Source organism: Homo sapiens, chromosome 12 (assembly GCF_000001405.40).
Source record: "Homo sapiens chromosome 12, GRCh38.p14 Primary Assembly".
Lineage (NCBI taxonomy): Eukaryota > Metazoa > Chordata > Mammalia > Primates > Hominidae > Homo > Homo sapiens.
In genome coordinates, this window is record NC_000012.12 from 71,638,951 (window position 1) to 71,654,298 (window position 15,348).

At 37.0% G+C, this 15,348-nt stretch overlaps 1 protein-coding gene and 1 non-coding gene across 3 annotated transcripts in view; one reads left to right on the forward strand and one right to left on the reverse strand.

Moving 5' to 3' along the window:
* Positions 1-15,348, reverse strand: part of ZFC3H1 (zinc finger C3H1-type containing) — a 54,250-nt gene that overhangs the window by 29,352 nt on the left and 9,550 nt on the right. For both annotated transcript variants that reach the window (NM_144982.5, XM_047428485.1), the window contains exons 3-6: positions 8,799-8,863; positions 5,927-6,125; positions 5,145-5,368; positions 3,486-3,609 (exon numbers count right to left, since the gene is read on the reverse strand). In NM_144982.5, coding sequence (NP_659419.3) covers positions 3,486-3,609; positions 5,145-5,368; positions 5,927-6,125; positions 8,799-8,863 — 612 coding nt within the window. The remainder of the gene's footprint in view (positions 1-3,485; positions 3,610-5,144; positions 5,369-5,926; positions 6,126-8,798; positions 8,864-15,348) is intronic.
* On the forward strand, positions 405-533 carry LOC124900332 (small nucleolar RNA SNORA17). Its single transcript, XR_007063634.1, has one exon. It is a non-coding gene; the product is annotated as a small nucleolar RNA SNORA17 (small nucleolar RNA).

Sequence of the window (15,348 nt, forward strand, 5' to 3'; positions counted from 1 at the left end):
AGCAAAAGAAAGTTGAGGACATGGACCATATAAGCTGTGTTGAAAGTAAATAAAACTAGGAATGAGAAGAATTACTTAGTGTATTTAGTCAATAAGGTGCACATTTTTTCACATTTTAATTTTGAAATAATTACAATTGATGCATCTCAGCATTTTTCTTCCTTGGTAGCAGATAAAAATAATTGTGTATTTTATCTTCAATGACTTGTTAGGCTCACTGAAATACAGCAGTTTCAAAGACTACTCTTACTACCCTACCCACTAACTATATAATCAGAGAAAATCTAACATTTCTTCTTTATCCCAGTTGTCTCACAAGTCAATACATTATTATCCACATGCCTTATATGGGGTTGACTTGAGTCCCAAATGAGATAATCTGAATATACACTAATCTTTGGAACATTTTACATAGCGCTGCAGATGTGGCTGCTGTGTCACATTTGTGTTATTAGGTGGCAGAGAGAAGAGAGGCTATGTCTATGCTCAGTGTTCTGCCCCATGAACATTTGAATGTTTAATAGTCAGACACTTGATGGTGCTATTGTTTTATGGACTTGGCATGTTTTCCCTTCCTAGTATCTGGGAGAGAGGGTGGACCTAGTGAGTGCAGTGATCTCCGAGGAAAGCCCTCCAGGCTGCACTATCCTCATCCAGATTTAACCAGCCCTGACTCACTGCCAGGTGCCAGGAGAGGCTTCTGAGGACTTTCTGACCTTTGTGTTGGGTCAGCCACTAGGGGGTCTGAAAGGACAGTGGGAAGGTAGAGGGTGCCCTCAGCAAGAGTAGCCTTCATTCATGAATTTTAGAAACTAGTGGTAGGAAAGATGAAGTCCATTATGTGCTGGTTCATGCTACCCACCATGTCAGGATCATCCAGGAGGACAAAGAACTAGGCAAGTGTTTGCTGGTGTTTGATTCAGTTAATAGTATTAACAGCAGCCACTTTTACTATGCTCTTGATTCTGTGTCAAGCTTTCTTGTTATTTATTTTTGAGACAGAGTCTCACTCAGTGCCCAGGCTAGAGTGCAGTTTTATTGTGCTCTTGATTCTGTGTCAAGCTTTCTTGTTATTTATGTATTTATTTTTGAGACAGAGTGTCGCTCAGTGCCCAGGCTAGAGTGCAGTGGCACCATCTCAGCTCACTACAACCTCCACCTCCCAGGTTCAAGCGATTCTCCTGCCTCAGGCTCCTGAGTAGCTGGGACTGCAGGGGTGAGCCACCACTACTGGCTAATTTTTGTATTTTTAGTAGAGGCGAGGTTTCACCATGTTGGCCAGGCTGGTTTTGAACTGCTGACCTCAGGTGATCCTCCCGCCTCGGCCTCCCAAAAGTTCTGGGATTACAGGTGTGAGTCACCGTGCCCAGCCATTCTTGTTTTTTAACACAGGAAAGAAGCTGACAGAACTTGTGACTGGCTTACAGTGTGAGCACTGGCCAGAAAGACCAGGTGGACTGGCCCCAGCCCAGATCAAGATGCAGAGGCCAAGATGTGGGCCTTGCCCTGTGCCAGAAGGCTGGTTGGAACAGAGGTGCAGATACAGGCTCAACCTGCTCTGGGACCACCAGTGGTGCTCAAGGTATTTGCAGCCTCAGAGCTTGGCTTTCCACAAGTCCACCCACCCCCAAGGCCATGCAACTGCAGTTCCTGCTCTGCTTTCATTACAGGGAACGGGCAGGCTGGCACTGGGATGCCCACTGCCTCTGGCCTCTCTACCTTGGTGGCACTGTGTGCTCCAGCTGGCCAGGGGCAGCTGCCGGGACCACCCCATCATTTTAGTATTCTGATTTTTAAGTTGTTCTGCCACTGTGGTATCCTAGTGAAAAAAAATAAATAACCTTCTGGCAATTTCTGAACTGCCTGAAACCTCAGATCCTAAACTAGTTTTTTACCGTATTTGAATTCTCTTGGTTTTTTTTTTCCCCCGCCCGGCGAAAAACTCTATATGGAAAACATTCTTTTTTAATACAAGATAAAGTGAATTAAAAGATGTTTTTAATGCACATTTCTTCAAATATAATATGTCTGTGTTGGCAAAATTTGAGAAAAAAATTGATCTTGAATGGAAAAAAATACATATATATAAATATCCGCAGTTAACGTGGCAAAAAATTAAAATTTGACAAAGCCGCTTAGAGAGTATGTTCTCTATATGTTTCACAAAATCATTTAAAAAGCATAGATCATAAAGTTATTTTATAGAAATAAAGTATTAATAATATTGTCAATACTTGGGAATTATAATGAATCATCTCCAAGAATCTGAAAATAAGAAAATTAAAGATTGACCAAAGCAAGTTAAATTGTGTTATCAAAACATAATATAAGACTATCAAACACCAGCTTAAAGTAACAACCTGAAAAATGAGCATTTTGGTAAACACTAGCCAAATAATACATATTTTGTTTTGTCTCTAGTCTAGATACACCAAAGTAGGATTCCAGTTTTGATTTGGTCTCACTATGTGACTATAGGGAGAAATACACTGATCATGTGTTCTTCCAAATTCTCCAGTTCCTGGAATGCCAACTGCGTTCTGTTATCTGCCTCAGTCTTAAGTGTTTTAAATTATTTGTGAAGGAATAGGTCTCTCACAGCCAATCACCCCTGAACATCAACAAAATCAAGTCTCTGGCCCTCAAAGATAAGTCAGATTCTAGACTATGCAACCTAAAGGAGAGTTACAGCCCTGACCAGTTCTAACCAGCCTTTCCTGAGATGCCACTAGTACTATCACTTTCTGTCTCAAAATTTCTACAAATTATCGTACTAGAAAGAGACAGGAAGCCAAATAGCAAAAAAGGAATTTTGTTCTTTGACTAAAGCAGAAAGTATCTTGGATATAAAGATCAAGAGTTTGTTTTTTTAAAGAGTAATGTTCTCATCTTTCCCATTCTTCACTTTTTATTTTTTGAGACAGAATCTTGCTCTGTCACTCAGGCGGGAGTGCAGTGGTACGACGTCAGCTCACTGCAACCTCCACCTTCCAGGTTCAAGAAATTCTCATGCCTTAGCCTCCCAAGAAGCTGGGATTAAAGGCACATGCCACCACACCCAGCGAATTTTTGTATTTTTAGTAGAGACAGGGTTTCGCCATGTCAGCCAGGCTGGTCTCCAACTCCCGGCCTCAAGCAATCTGCCCACCTCAGCATCCCAAAGTACTGGGATTACAGGTGTGAGCCACTGCACCCGGCCCAATCTTCACTTTCTAGAGCAAACAGTTAACAGAGTTTAAACAATGTCTTATTTATTTGTTTTTTAATTTAAAGGCTATCTAGAAACACTCGGAAATAAAGGTTAATATTACTTATTTGAGGTTTGCTCTCTAAGTATTTACAACAACAAATAATGTCTATCGCCATACAGTTCATCAGCAAATCTCACTTTCATTACACATTTCTTTAAAGGTTTTGAGTACCATAATGACTATTCTCTATTTAATACATGTAAATACACAAAGGTTTCAAGTTTTGGCTCATACCTGGAGAACTGGTTTCACTATCTGTATCCATAGCAACTTCTTCATAGTTATCATACTGATAAATGCCTCCTCCACTATCAGTAGGTTGCTTATCTAAGGATCGCCTCAGGTCAGGATCTGAAGACTAAGTATACAACACTTTTTTAGTTTCAAAGCATTTTCTGTCTTGGGTTACAAATCACAAAAGAACTGATAGTTATCTTCTATGGAAGAGTATCAAAAATCATGGTGATTCAGTTAGATGTGCCTATCACATCTTTGGGAAATTCAATTCAAATGATAGGTACACTGGTTGACATTTTATAACTGTATAATCAGATAGAAAATGGAATTTCCAAAGTACGAGCTATACAGACGAAATCCCCCATTGTTAGCTGAGCCACTAAATAATTAGCTCTTCCTGTATAAAATGACACCAAACTCTTGTACACTTATGACTTCTGTATGATTAAGAAACTAGAGGAATACAAAAACAAGTTTTATGTCATCACGACTACATACAGAATATTTCCCCAAAAATTCAAAAACATTTTAATTATAAATAAATTAATGATACCTGAAAGCTATAAATTCTGGGTAAATGTGTTTATCTATTGTATGTTGTTTTCTTGTCTACTTCTTACTATGTTTCACTCAGAGACAGTTTATAATAAACTAAAAACTCGCAAAACCTCTCGAGAAGGAGGTAAAGAATAATGTGCAAATAATACCATATTTATCTCTAGAAAAAGATTCTATTGGCCTGGCGCGGTGGCTCATGCGGTCGGGAGTTCAAGACCAGCCTGGCCAACATGGTGAAACCCCGTCTCTACTAAAAATACAAAAAAATTAGCCAGGCATGGTGGTGGGTGCCTGTAATCCCAGCTACTCGGGAGACTGGGGCAGGAGAATTGTTTGAACCTGGGAGGTGGAGGTTGCAGTGAGCCGAAACATGCCATTGCACTCCAGCCTGGGCAACAAGAGTAAGACTCCATCTCAAAAAAAAAAAAAATTTCAAAGTATAAATATTTACAATATTCCTTGCTTAAGCAAACCTAACTCCAATTAACGAATTTACTCTTTAATATCCCTCTACTCTTCATTAATACATTCTCAAGTATACTCTTTTTGGGCTTTTTTCTTCTTTTTGGGTGGAGAGGGTAAAAGAAGGGAGGGAGAGAGAAAAAGACAAGACGACAAGTATATTTATATACATAGTAAATGTTCAACAAATGTTTGACCACTAAATACAAAATAGCCACATGCACTAAGGTTATTACTATATCATGATTTAACATTTATTAAGGTAGTCCATACTAGTCATGACACACTTCTCAATCTACATTACTAAACAATGAAAAACTAATGAAATTCTACCCCTGTACTTAAGACTTAACAGCCATTTTCAGAATAAGTTTTCACCACAATTTAGTAATCCTACTTTCATCTAAACAGAAAATCGTAAAAAACCTAAAAGCAGTCTCTGCTAATAATAATTTTAGCCTTCATTTCTTCTTCCAATACCTACAACTATAAAAGATGCTTTCCCAATTATAACCTACCTTCCTTTTTTCCAAGAGTTATTTATAAAATAAACTTCCTTATTTGACAGAATCTATGAAATATGACTTTAAGGAAACTTAGAGTAACGTTTTGATTTTATATTTTTGCATTTCTTACTTTACTTCTTGATCTCCTCTTGCCACCAACCAATTTCATGAATCGATTGTACTGTTCTTCCTGATTTGAGAGATCTCGAATTTTTCTGATTTCTTCCTCTCTTTTCCTTCTCTCTTCTTCTTCAGCTTGTTTCCGCTGATCCTCTTCTTTCTGTCTTTCCTGCTCTTTTTGTTGTTGTAGTTTCTTCCATGCCTTTGTTTGCTGCTTCCTCAATGCTTGTTTAGCTTTAAATAAAAAACACATAAACATTAGCATCTGTTAGGAGATAAAAGAAAAATAAGAGTCTTAAAAAATATTTTCATTATTGATTAATCAGTGATGATGCTCCTAAGTTGTTTATATAAGATTGTCTTCCATTTTAGGGCCCTGTAATTCCCCAAACTCAAAACTCTGAATTAAAATCTCAAAACTATACTTACACATAAATTCAACTAAAAGAATTTAACAGGCAGTGGCTCACGCCTGTAATCCCAGCACTTTGGGAGGCTGAGGCGAGTGGATCACCTGACGTCAGGAGTTTGAGACCAGTTAGCCCAACACCGCCAAACCCCGTCTCTACTAAAAATACAAAAAATTAGCCAGGCGTGGTGGTGGGCGCCTGTAATCCCAGCTACTTGGGAGGCTGAGGCAGGAGAATCGCCTGAACCTGGGAGGTGGAGGTTGCAGTAAGCAAAGATCATGCCACTGTACTCCAGCCTGGGCGACAAGAGCAAAACTCTGTCTCAAAAAACAAAAGAAAAGAAAACAAAACAAAAACACAAGAATTTAATAAAAATGATCACCTGTAGTGCTAACTTTTTTGGCCGAATGTGTTTTTGTACTTGTTTTAACTTTTTGCTGTACAGTTTTCGTCTTAGTCAACTTTTCTTTGCTTTCTTTCATCACCTGCTGTTCTTTTTGTTGCCATTTTTTACTGGCTGACTGAAGAGCCAAAAGGCGAAGCTGTAATTCAGATAGTTCCTCTTCATCTTCACCAAGTTTCTTTAAAGCAAAAAGAAAGAGCTAAAATTTTTTAATTCTATTATTTAGCTTACACATTTCATCAAGTCAAATCCTTTATGATAAAAATTTGAAGTGTGAAGGCAAATATGACAAGGCAAATACAGATAAAATAAGTAAACTAATTTACTTCCCACAGCCTGAGACTCTAATGTAATTCCTAAAATACGAATAGAAGATGAGTCTGCAGAAGGTATGTGTATATATGTAATGTAGGGTTGGTAAGGCGGTACAACTGATAGAACACGATAATGCAAAAAAGAAAAGAGTTAGTAGCTAACATTTAAAAGGGCTTCCCAAACCGGAAAGAGTAAAAGTCTGATGGCAGCAAATGCAATGAAGAAATCAAGACCCAGGAGAGGTAAGGAAAGAAGAAGGAAGTGGTTCCCTGATCATGTGATTTGCTGGCCTCACCAGTAATAGAGAACAACAGACACACTGAATGTCAAGATTCAAACTTACAAATTTTCTTTTATGTGTATATTTTTTAATTCTTTAAATTACTATTGAAGGGAAAAATCTATAGAGATTTGCTTACAGCTGACTGTTATGTGTTCTAAGGCTACAGATATTTATCTGAATATTTTATATATTTTGAACAGACAAGACTTTTCTTCAGGAAAGCTAAAACAGGACAATAATGTTAAAAGCAGATGTCTGAGAACTTTTTTCCAATTGAAATAACTTTTGCATTTCACTTTCGAAATAGTTTAAAAAATTAATCTGTTCTCTCCATTATAGCAAAAATAGAACTGAAAAATGTCAGGCTCCCTAGAGGTTTTTAATTAGAGTCCATGGACTTTAATAAGGGGTGGGAGGATAGCTTTGGCTTCCCCACCCCTGAAGTTAAACACAAACCCTCTTTTTTCTTTATGTATGTGCATGGAAGGGAAAGGAAGAGTCAAAAAAGATTCCAAAAGATTAAGGCCCACTTATCTAATAACTTTTTCTTATAGGTAAATTGTAATTATATTTTCTCCTAAAATCCAATTAAATTCTTTCTATTGTTAAACATAAAGAAAACAGTGGATACTAACTAATGATTTCACCTGAATATGAACTACTATAAGCCCTAAACTACTGTCATACACTTCAGTACTTCAGTTTAACCAAACCAAGACAGTTACCTTTTCCACTGTTGGTAAGTACATGTAAGCAATAATTTTAAAATTATTATGGTTCTTTTTTAAATTCTACGTCACTTAAACGTATCAAATTCTATTACCTAGTACTGAAATTCTAGAGCTGTGCTGTTCAATATGGTAGCAATGAGCCACATGTGGCTATCTGAATTTAAATCAACCAAAACTGAATTTAAAAATTTGTACCTAAGCCACACTAATCACTTTTCAAGTTCTTCATAGCCACATGTAGCTAACAGCTACCATATTGGAGAATTCAGCTATAAAACATTTCCATTATTGTAGAAAATTCTATTAAACAGTACTCATGTACAGAGTTTAACTAAAATAAAGCTATCCTCACTGTTCCATTGAGACAAAGTCTTTTTGTTTTCTTGTTTTAAATTATTTAATTTTTTTCAACTTTGGATCTCACTATGTTGCCCAGGCTGGTCTCAAACTCCTGAGCTAAAGTGATCAAACTACCTCAGCCTTCCAGAGTGCTGGGATTACAGGCATAAGCCACCACGCCCAGTGACACTTTTGATTACTTTTTGCAACTACTCTCTTTGGAATGAAAGAAACCACTGATTCTGTCACCCACCTATATGCTACGTGAGGTAGCTACTTGAACAGCAAGAGCACAGAGCTAAGCTCGTTAGTTCCCACTAGTCAGACAAGCTCATTAAATTACTTGCTCTGACACTTAATTCCTATGTAACTTTAGGCAAGTCACTTAATCTACTCAAATGACTCTTACTTCATCTACAAAATGTATATAATGTCAACTTGATTCATAGGGTTATTGTGAGGGTATTAAAAAATGTGTATGTGTACGTTATATTATCATTTCTAAATTCAGGGCCATCTTTTTCCTAAAGCTCCTAGACTATTTAAATCATTTCAATTTATGCAAAAAAACAAACTGAAATCTCAAAAGAAAAAAACTACAGATATTTCAGATCTCTAATTCAACAAATTGAAAAGGCTTGGGTTATTGAGTGCCTGTTATACGTCAAACACAGTGCTTGAGGCTTCTGTGTTTCATTCTACTGAAACCTCACAACAACCCAGATAACAGAAGACATTAAGTTCAGTTTGTAGAAAAGAATATAGAAGCAAGCAAAGGCTAAATAGTTTATACAAAGTCACTCAGTTAACAAGAAGTGGAGGTAGAATTTGACACCAGGTGAAGGTCTACCTTACTCCAAAAGCTTACCCACACAGGATAACACACAAAAAATGGAGAAAATATCTGGATCAAAATTAAAGGTTTCAAAAAACAAATGATTAAAAAAAAGATCCCGTATGAATATATATAACACTTTAATTAAACATAATTTGCAGAACCCAGGGAAAAGAGACTGCAAGATGTCGATCCAGAATTTCTTTAAGGCTTATGTCCAAATGGAGTTATAGGAATGATGAAAGAAAATAAGTGAAAGTAAGATAGACTTCCCTTACAAAAGAACAAAATAAAGCAATGCAAAAATGGGTCTTACAGAGATGATAGTCTCACAAAGCAGTATCTTACCTTTTCAGACAGAATATCTGAGGTACTAATTCTTCTTGTTAAATTTTGTTCTTTATCTTGTAATCCTTTAAAATAAAATAATATCTTTTGAATAATCCAAAAGATAGCCACAATCTAAAATAAAATAATCCTATATAATATCTGGTAATTATTTTAAAAGAGATCATTAAAGGGTCTCATTTTCTCAATCTCTCAACCAAAAGGAAATACCATTAAAGAGAATGAAAATCTGAACAAACTCTTATCAGCCTCATTCCTCAAAGTTATAAGGCAAAATGATTCAAAATATTAAAATAAAGCCACACTTTTAATAAAATGACTTCTGAACTAGAAATAGTCACTTCAAATGAGAAGAGAATTTATAAAGCATAGAAACAAGCAGCAACACTTAATTACCAAGTGGATTATCCACACTGATAGAATATAATGATGACTAAATTAATCCAGTCCTCTAAATTGGAATGAATGCAATGTTTACAGACTGTATTGGATTTGTGCATTAGAGAATTGGTCATTTACCTAGAAAAGCATCAGTAGAGGCAGCTTAAGTATCAATAAAATTAAGTCCATCCATACATTTTTTCCAGATATCTAGCCTTGGGCCCAGATGACTGATGAAATAATGTACAAAATCTTACATTTATATATTACCTAATCTACAACAGCTTTAAACATCACATGATAAAGTTACAGAATATCTACAATCCTGTTGAGATACTTTTGTAGCTAAAACAGATTATGTTAAAAACTCAGAAATCTTTCCTTAAGATGACAAAACTGAAATTGCAAAGCTAGGATTTAAACTAGATCTTAATTTTAAGTCTGGTGTTTTTACCATAACACCACACCTGTCAATGTTCCAAACATCCTAATTTGACTGCTCAAGTGAACCAAAGAATACGTGACTTATTCAATAAATAAATGACTAATCTAGCATCTAAATCAATGTAAATAGAAGGCAATGACCAAATTTCAAGACAAATGAGTTCTGTTGAAAGGCTTAGTCTATAAATGTGAATTTGTTGCAACATGACTGATACATTAGAAAATAATTCGAGCAGCCAGGCACAGTGGCTTATGCCTGCAATCCCAGTGCTTTGGGAGGCCGAGGCGGGTGGATCACCTGAGGTCAGGAGTTCAAGACCAGCCTGGGCAACATGGCAAAACTCTGTCTCTACTGAAAATACAAAAAATTAGCCAGGCATGGTGGTGCACGCCTGTAGTCCCAGCTACTCGGAAGGCTGAGGCAGGAGAATCGCTTGGACCCGGGAGGTGGAGGTTGCAGTGAGCTGAGATTGTACCACTGTACTCCATCCTGGGTAACAGAGCAAGACTCTTGTCTCAAAAAAAAAAAAAAAAAAAGAAAAGAAAAGAAAAGAATTTGAGCATAACACAAATTTATATTTACTTATGTGTGATTTGTCTCAGAGAAACACTAAGAATGCAGAAAACTGCACCCAAGTGATCTGAGCCATGTAGGAATACACAAACAACATATACTTCAAACATCTATCAAATACCCAAGTTCATTGCGTGTGTTATAAGCCACAGCCATCCACATCTGGTATTACAATTTACTGTCTGATTTCAGGTAACACTCCTTGTTTTACTTCATAATAACTCATAAGTAGCAAATATTCCACTTCCACAGGTGTACTTCAGGTCTATTTTATGGAATGCTGACATGTTTACTTTAATATTTCACACTTTTTTTCTCCATTTCACATGCAAAGCTGTGCTATCATTTTTCATTTATTCCTATCTTTTTTTTATATGCCACGGACAAAGTTTTTGAGTGTTGTTCCTCTAACCCCATTTTCTCCACACACCCTATTGTTTTTATTGCATAATTTTGCAGTGTGGTAATTTTGGGAAATGCATATGTCCCACTGTAGAAAAAATGATCACGCTTTTAAAAACAACAGAATAGTAATAACTATTATACAAAAATAAACAGGGAAACATTAAACACTAAATTATTCTCCTACATGAGAAACTTATGAGTTTCATTAAGTCATGAGAAATCTACTGGTTGATTAGGATCTCACTTGTCTATAAAAAATGGCAGCACCTCCCTTTAACGTAGCATAGAGGCAAGTATCTATTAACATAGCAGGTACCTTATGACTACATTGCTACCTTAAAAATAAATACAATAGGCTGGGTGTGGTGGCTCATGCCTGTAATCCCAGCACTTTGGGAGGCCAAGGCGGGTGGATCACGAGGTCAGGAGATCGAGACCATCCTGGCTAACATGGTGAAACCCTGTCTCTACCAAAAATACAAAAAATTAGCCAGGCGTGGTGGCAGGCACCTATAGTCCCAGCTACTCGGGAGGCCAAGGCAGAATAATGGTGTGAACCTGGGAGGTGGAGCCTGCCGTGAGCCGAGATCACGCCACTGCACTCCAGCCTGGGCAACACAGTGAGAGTCAGGAGAATGGTGTGAACCTGGGAGGTGGAGCTTGCAGTGAGCTGAGATCACACCACTGCACTCCAGCCTGGGCAACAGAGCGAGTCCGTCTCAAAAAAAAATTAATAAATACAATAAATTCAATAAATACAAATTTCAGACAATAAATATAACTTTACACAAAGATTATAAATGCAGGTTTAAACTGATCAAATGGGTAGCTAGACATTGTTCTACCACTGTCATAGGTCTGTACAATAAAATTATCTCAAGTTTTACTCAAAACCTCCAAAATGAACACTGTTCTTGTCACACAGTATTTAAAATATTACCAACTGAAAGTCTAATGTGAGCCAAAGTCACCAGCACACAGGTAGTAGTTAAAACCATAATAATGAGAATATCCCTAGAAAATGGGACACTGAGGACATGACGAATTAAGAAATTACACAGGAAAAGTAATTATTTAAAACAAACAAAAGACAGAAAACAAAAATCAGAAAGTTATTTTTAAAATCCATTGCAGAAATCCCAAAATTTCAAGGGAAGAAACATATCACTGAATATAGTAGAGATGTCTACCCCCAATAGAATATTCTCAGCAATGCAGCCAGAGTGATGCCTTAAAAATATAAAACAGATTATGTCAGTCCTTTGCTCAAAACCCTGTAAGAGCTCCCCATTTCATTAGGAATAAAAAAACAAAGTTCTTACAAGGCTCTGTCTATAAGATCTGCCCCCTCCTGCCATCTCTAATCCCTTCTCTCCCATTATTCATTCCCCTCACTCTCCTGTATTAGCACAGGACTCCTTGTTATTCCCCAAACATGTCAGGCATCTTTCTGTATTATGGTCATTTCTCTAGTTCAGCGATGCCCAAACTTCAGCATGTAGCAGAATCAACAGAAGGGCTGGTTAAATACAGATTGCTAGGCCCCATTTGCAGAGCTCCCAGTTCAATAGATCTAAGGTAGAGACTGAGAATTTGTGTTCTGTCAAGTTCCCAGATAACGCAGTCCCCAGGAACCACACTTTGAAAATCACTGCTCTAGTTATTCCTTTTGCATAGGAGCCTCTTCCACCAGATATCCATTTGGCTATTCCTTTACTGTCTTCAAAGTCTTTCTTTAAATCTCACCTTCAAATAGACACCATGCTGACCACCCTATTAGTGCTGCAACCTGTATCCTCAATAACCCTTTCCTACCTACCCTGCTATACTTTTTCTCTTTCATAACAGTTAATTTACACATCATGTTTACTGTTTTGCCTTCTAAAATGTAAGCCCATGAAAACATAAGTGACTATTTTGTTCACCAATTTATTTCCAAGAGCCTGGAATAAAGTGCTCAACTAATTTTTGAATAAATGGAAGAATGAAATAAAAAACATCCACTAAAATTTGCAATTAGGTCACAGAAAACTACCATGAGTAGTTTCAGTATTGTGATGGGGGTAGAAAAGCAAACTGTATTGGGCTAATAAGGCAATGAGAAGTAAAGTCAAAAGCTGGTACCGACTAGACCTCTCAGAAGTCTTATTGAAAAGAGGAAGAATACTTGACATAATTTAAGAGAGAATGTAGGATGAGGTGGAAGAGGATTTCCATTTTTGGATGGAAAAGTCAAATATATTAAGAACACCCTAAGGAGACAATGGTTCAAGATAAAGCAGAATAAATAAAGCAAGGTCCCAGAGAAGGCAGAAGTTAGAGCCAGGAGAACAAGTTAAAACAAAATGGCCATGAACAAGACAGTCGTTACCCTCAGGGTGAAAGAACTGAAGTGAAAACTGATATGGATTACAAACAAGTTTATGGTCAGAAAGTGAAAAGCTGGAATTGAGTGTGATCACCTCCAATAAGAAGCAAGCTTGTATACGGACAATAATAAAGGTTGAGTAAAAGGCCTGCAAAAATTATGAAGGTATAGAAGAGTTGTCAAGAGATATGGAAAAAAGGCTCACCAATAACATAAGTTTGACAGTAGAGTCTTGCTGAGGATTGGTGGGGAAATATACATGTAGAAACATTTATATATATAATTTACTGATTCAGATGACATTTTAGTTCCTTTGATTTTCCTCCAATCACTCTTCCATACTGATGCCAGTTATTTTTCCAAAACACACATCTGATCACATCATTTTCTTGCTTAAAAATATTTAATAGCCCACCCAACGTTTAAAAGACAAAATTCAAATTCTTTAGCAAAATATTAAAGGCCTTCCCAATCCAACACTAACCTGTCCTTTTATAATTTTATGTCCAACCACTCACCAAAAAAATACCGTTATCTCTCACACTGCACACATATTTGATTAATCTCAATGCCCTTAAAAAGCCCTCTGTGCCTGTCTACTCATTTGATTCCTTCTGACTTCCCCAGTGGAAAAGATTCATCTTTCCAGATGTATATCAAACATTTACATCTCTATGAAACCTTTCTAAATCCAGGTGAGGATATTTAATCCTTCCCGTGTTACTCCAGGCTTTCACACATAACTCATATTATACTCCATGATAGAGATTTGTGTCTTTTCTATCCCTCTGTGTTATACTTCTCAAAACTGCTTGTGTAGAATCATAGTACTAAATTGAAGAGGGGAAAGAAAGGCATCTCCCTGAGAATGTGCAACCCAAAATAATCATCACTTAGGTCTGCAACCAAATTCACACCATATGGACAGCCAGTGAGGGTTGAACTGATTCCAAGGCTGAAGTCTTTAGCAAATTCTCTCTGGGGAATGCATCTTTGTCCCAGGTCTCAAAAACTTCCCACCACTAAAATTCAAAAAAAAACAACGACCATCTCATATTACAACAAAACAAAATCACTAAATGTTCAAGAAAAGAAAGTACCAAAAATGAGTAATAACAAAACAAACATCAGAAATCAAACCCCCAAAGACCTGAGATACTGAAAATTAGCAGGGATAGGAGATAAAACAAAACAGACCTATGGTTAATTTGTTTAAAGAAACAAAGATAAAGCTGAAAATATAAGCAGGGAGAAGAAAAGTGGAAAGAATGATCAAAGTGATTTGAAAACAAAACAAAAATGAAATAGTAAAACAAAAACTGTAATTGAAATGTAAAACTCAGTAAGTGGGCTTAAGGCAAATCGAATACAGCAGAAGAGAGAATCAGTAAAACGAAAGATGTATCAGAGGAAATTTTCCAGAATTTGTCAATTACAAAGTGACAGAAACTTAGAGAAATGAAGAGACATGAAAGATAAAGTATGATGACTTAACATAACATACATCTATACAGAGTTCCAAAAAAGAGAGAGAATGGGATAATATTCTAAGAGATAATGATCATTTTTTCAGAACCACTGCAAGATCCAATCCAGATTCAAGAAACAACAAATTCCAAGCTGGATACATAAAAAGAAATCTACAATCAGCACATCACACAGTTCAACTACAGAATATCAAAGACAAAAAGGATCTTTAAAACAACCAAAGAAAAAAGATTATCTTCAAATTGGAAACCATTAAGACTGATAGATGAGTTTTGAAAATCAACAATGGAAGCCAGAAAATATTGTCAGTAAGAATATAATTAGGGGCTGGGTGTGGTGGCTCATGCCTGTAATCCCAGCACTTTGGGAGGCCAAGGCAGGCGGATCACTTCAGGCCAGGAGTTTGAGACCAGACTGGCCAACATGGCGAAACCCCAGCTCCACTAAATACAAAAATTAGCCGGGCGCAATGGCATGTACCATAGTCCCAGCTACTCAGGAAGCTGAGGCATGAGAATCACTTGAACCCAGGAGGCGGAGGTTGCAATGAGCCAAGATAGTGCCACTGCACTCCAGCCTGGATGACAGGGAAAGACTTTGTCTCAAAAACAAACAAACAAAAAGCATATAATTAAACAACCTAGAATTCTAAACCCAGGGAAAATATCTTTTAAAAAGAGTAAACGGAAATCGTTTTCCACCCAGCAAAAACACATTTTTAAAAAAAAAGTCTAAAGAATGTATTTAAGCACAGAGCATGGTGGCTCACACCTGTAATCCCAGCATTTTAGGAGGCTAAGGCAAGAGGATCATTTGAGCCCAGGAGTTTGAGACCAGCCTAGACAACATACTGAGACCCCGTCTCTACAGAAATTTTTAAAACATAGCCG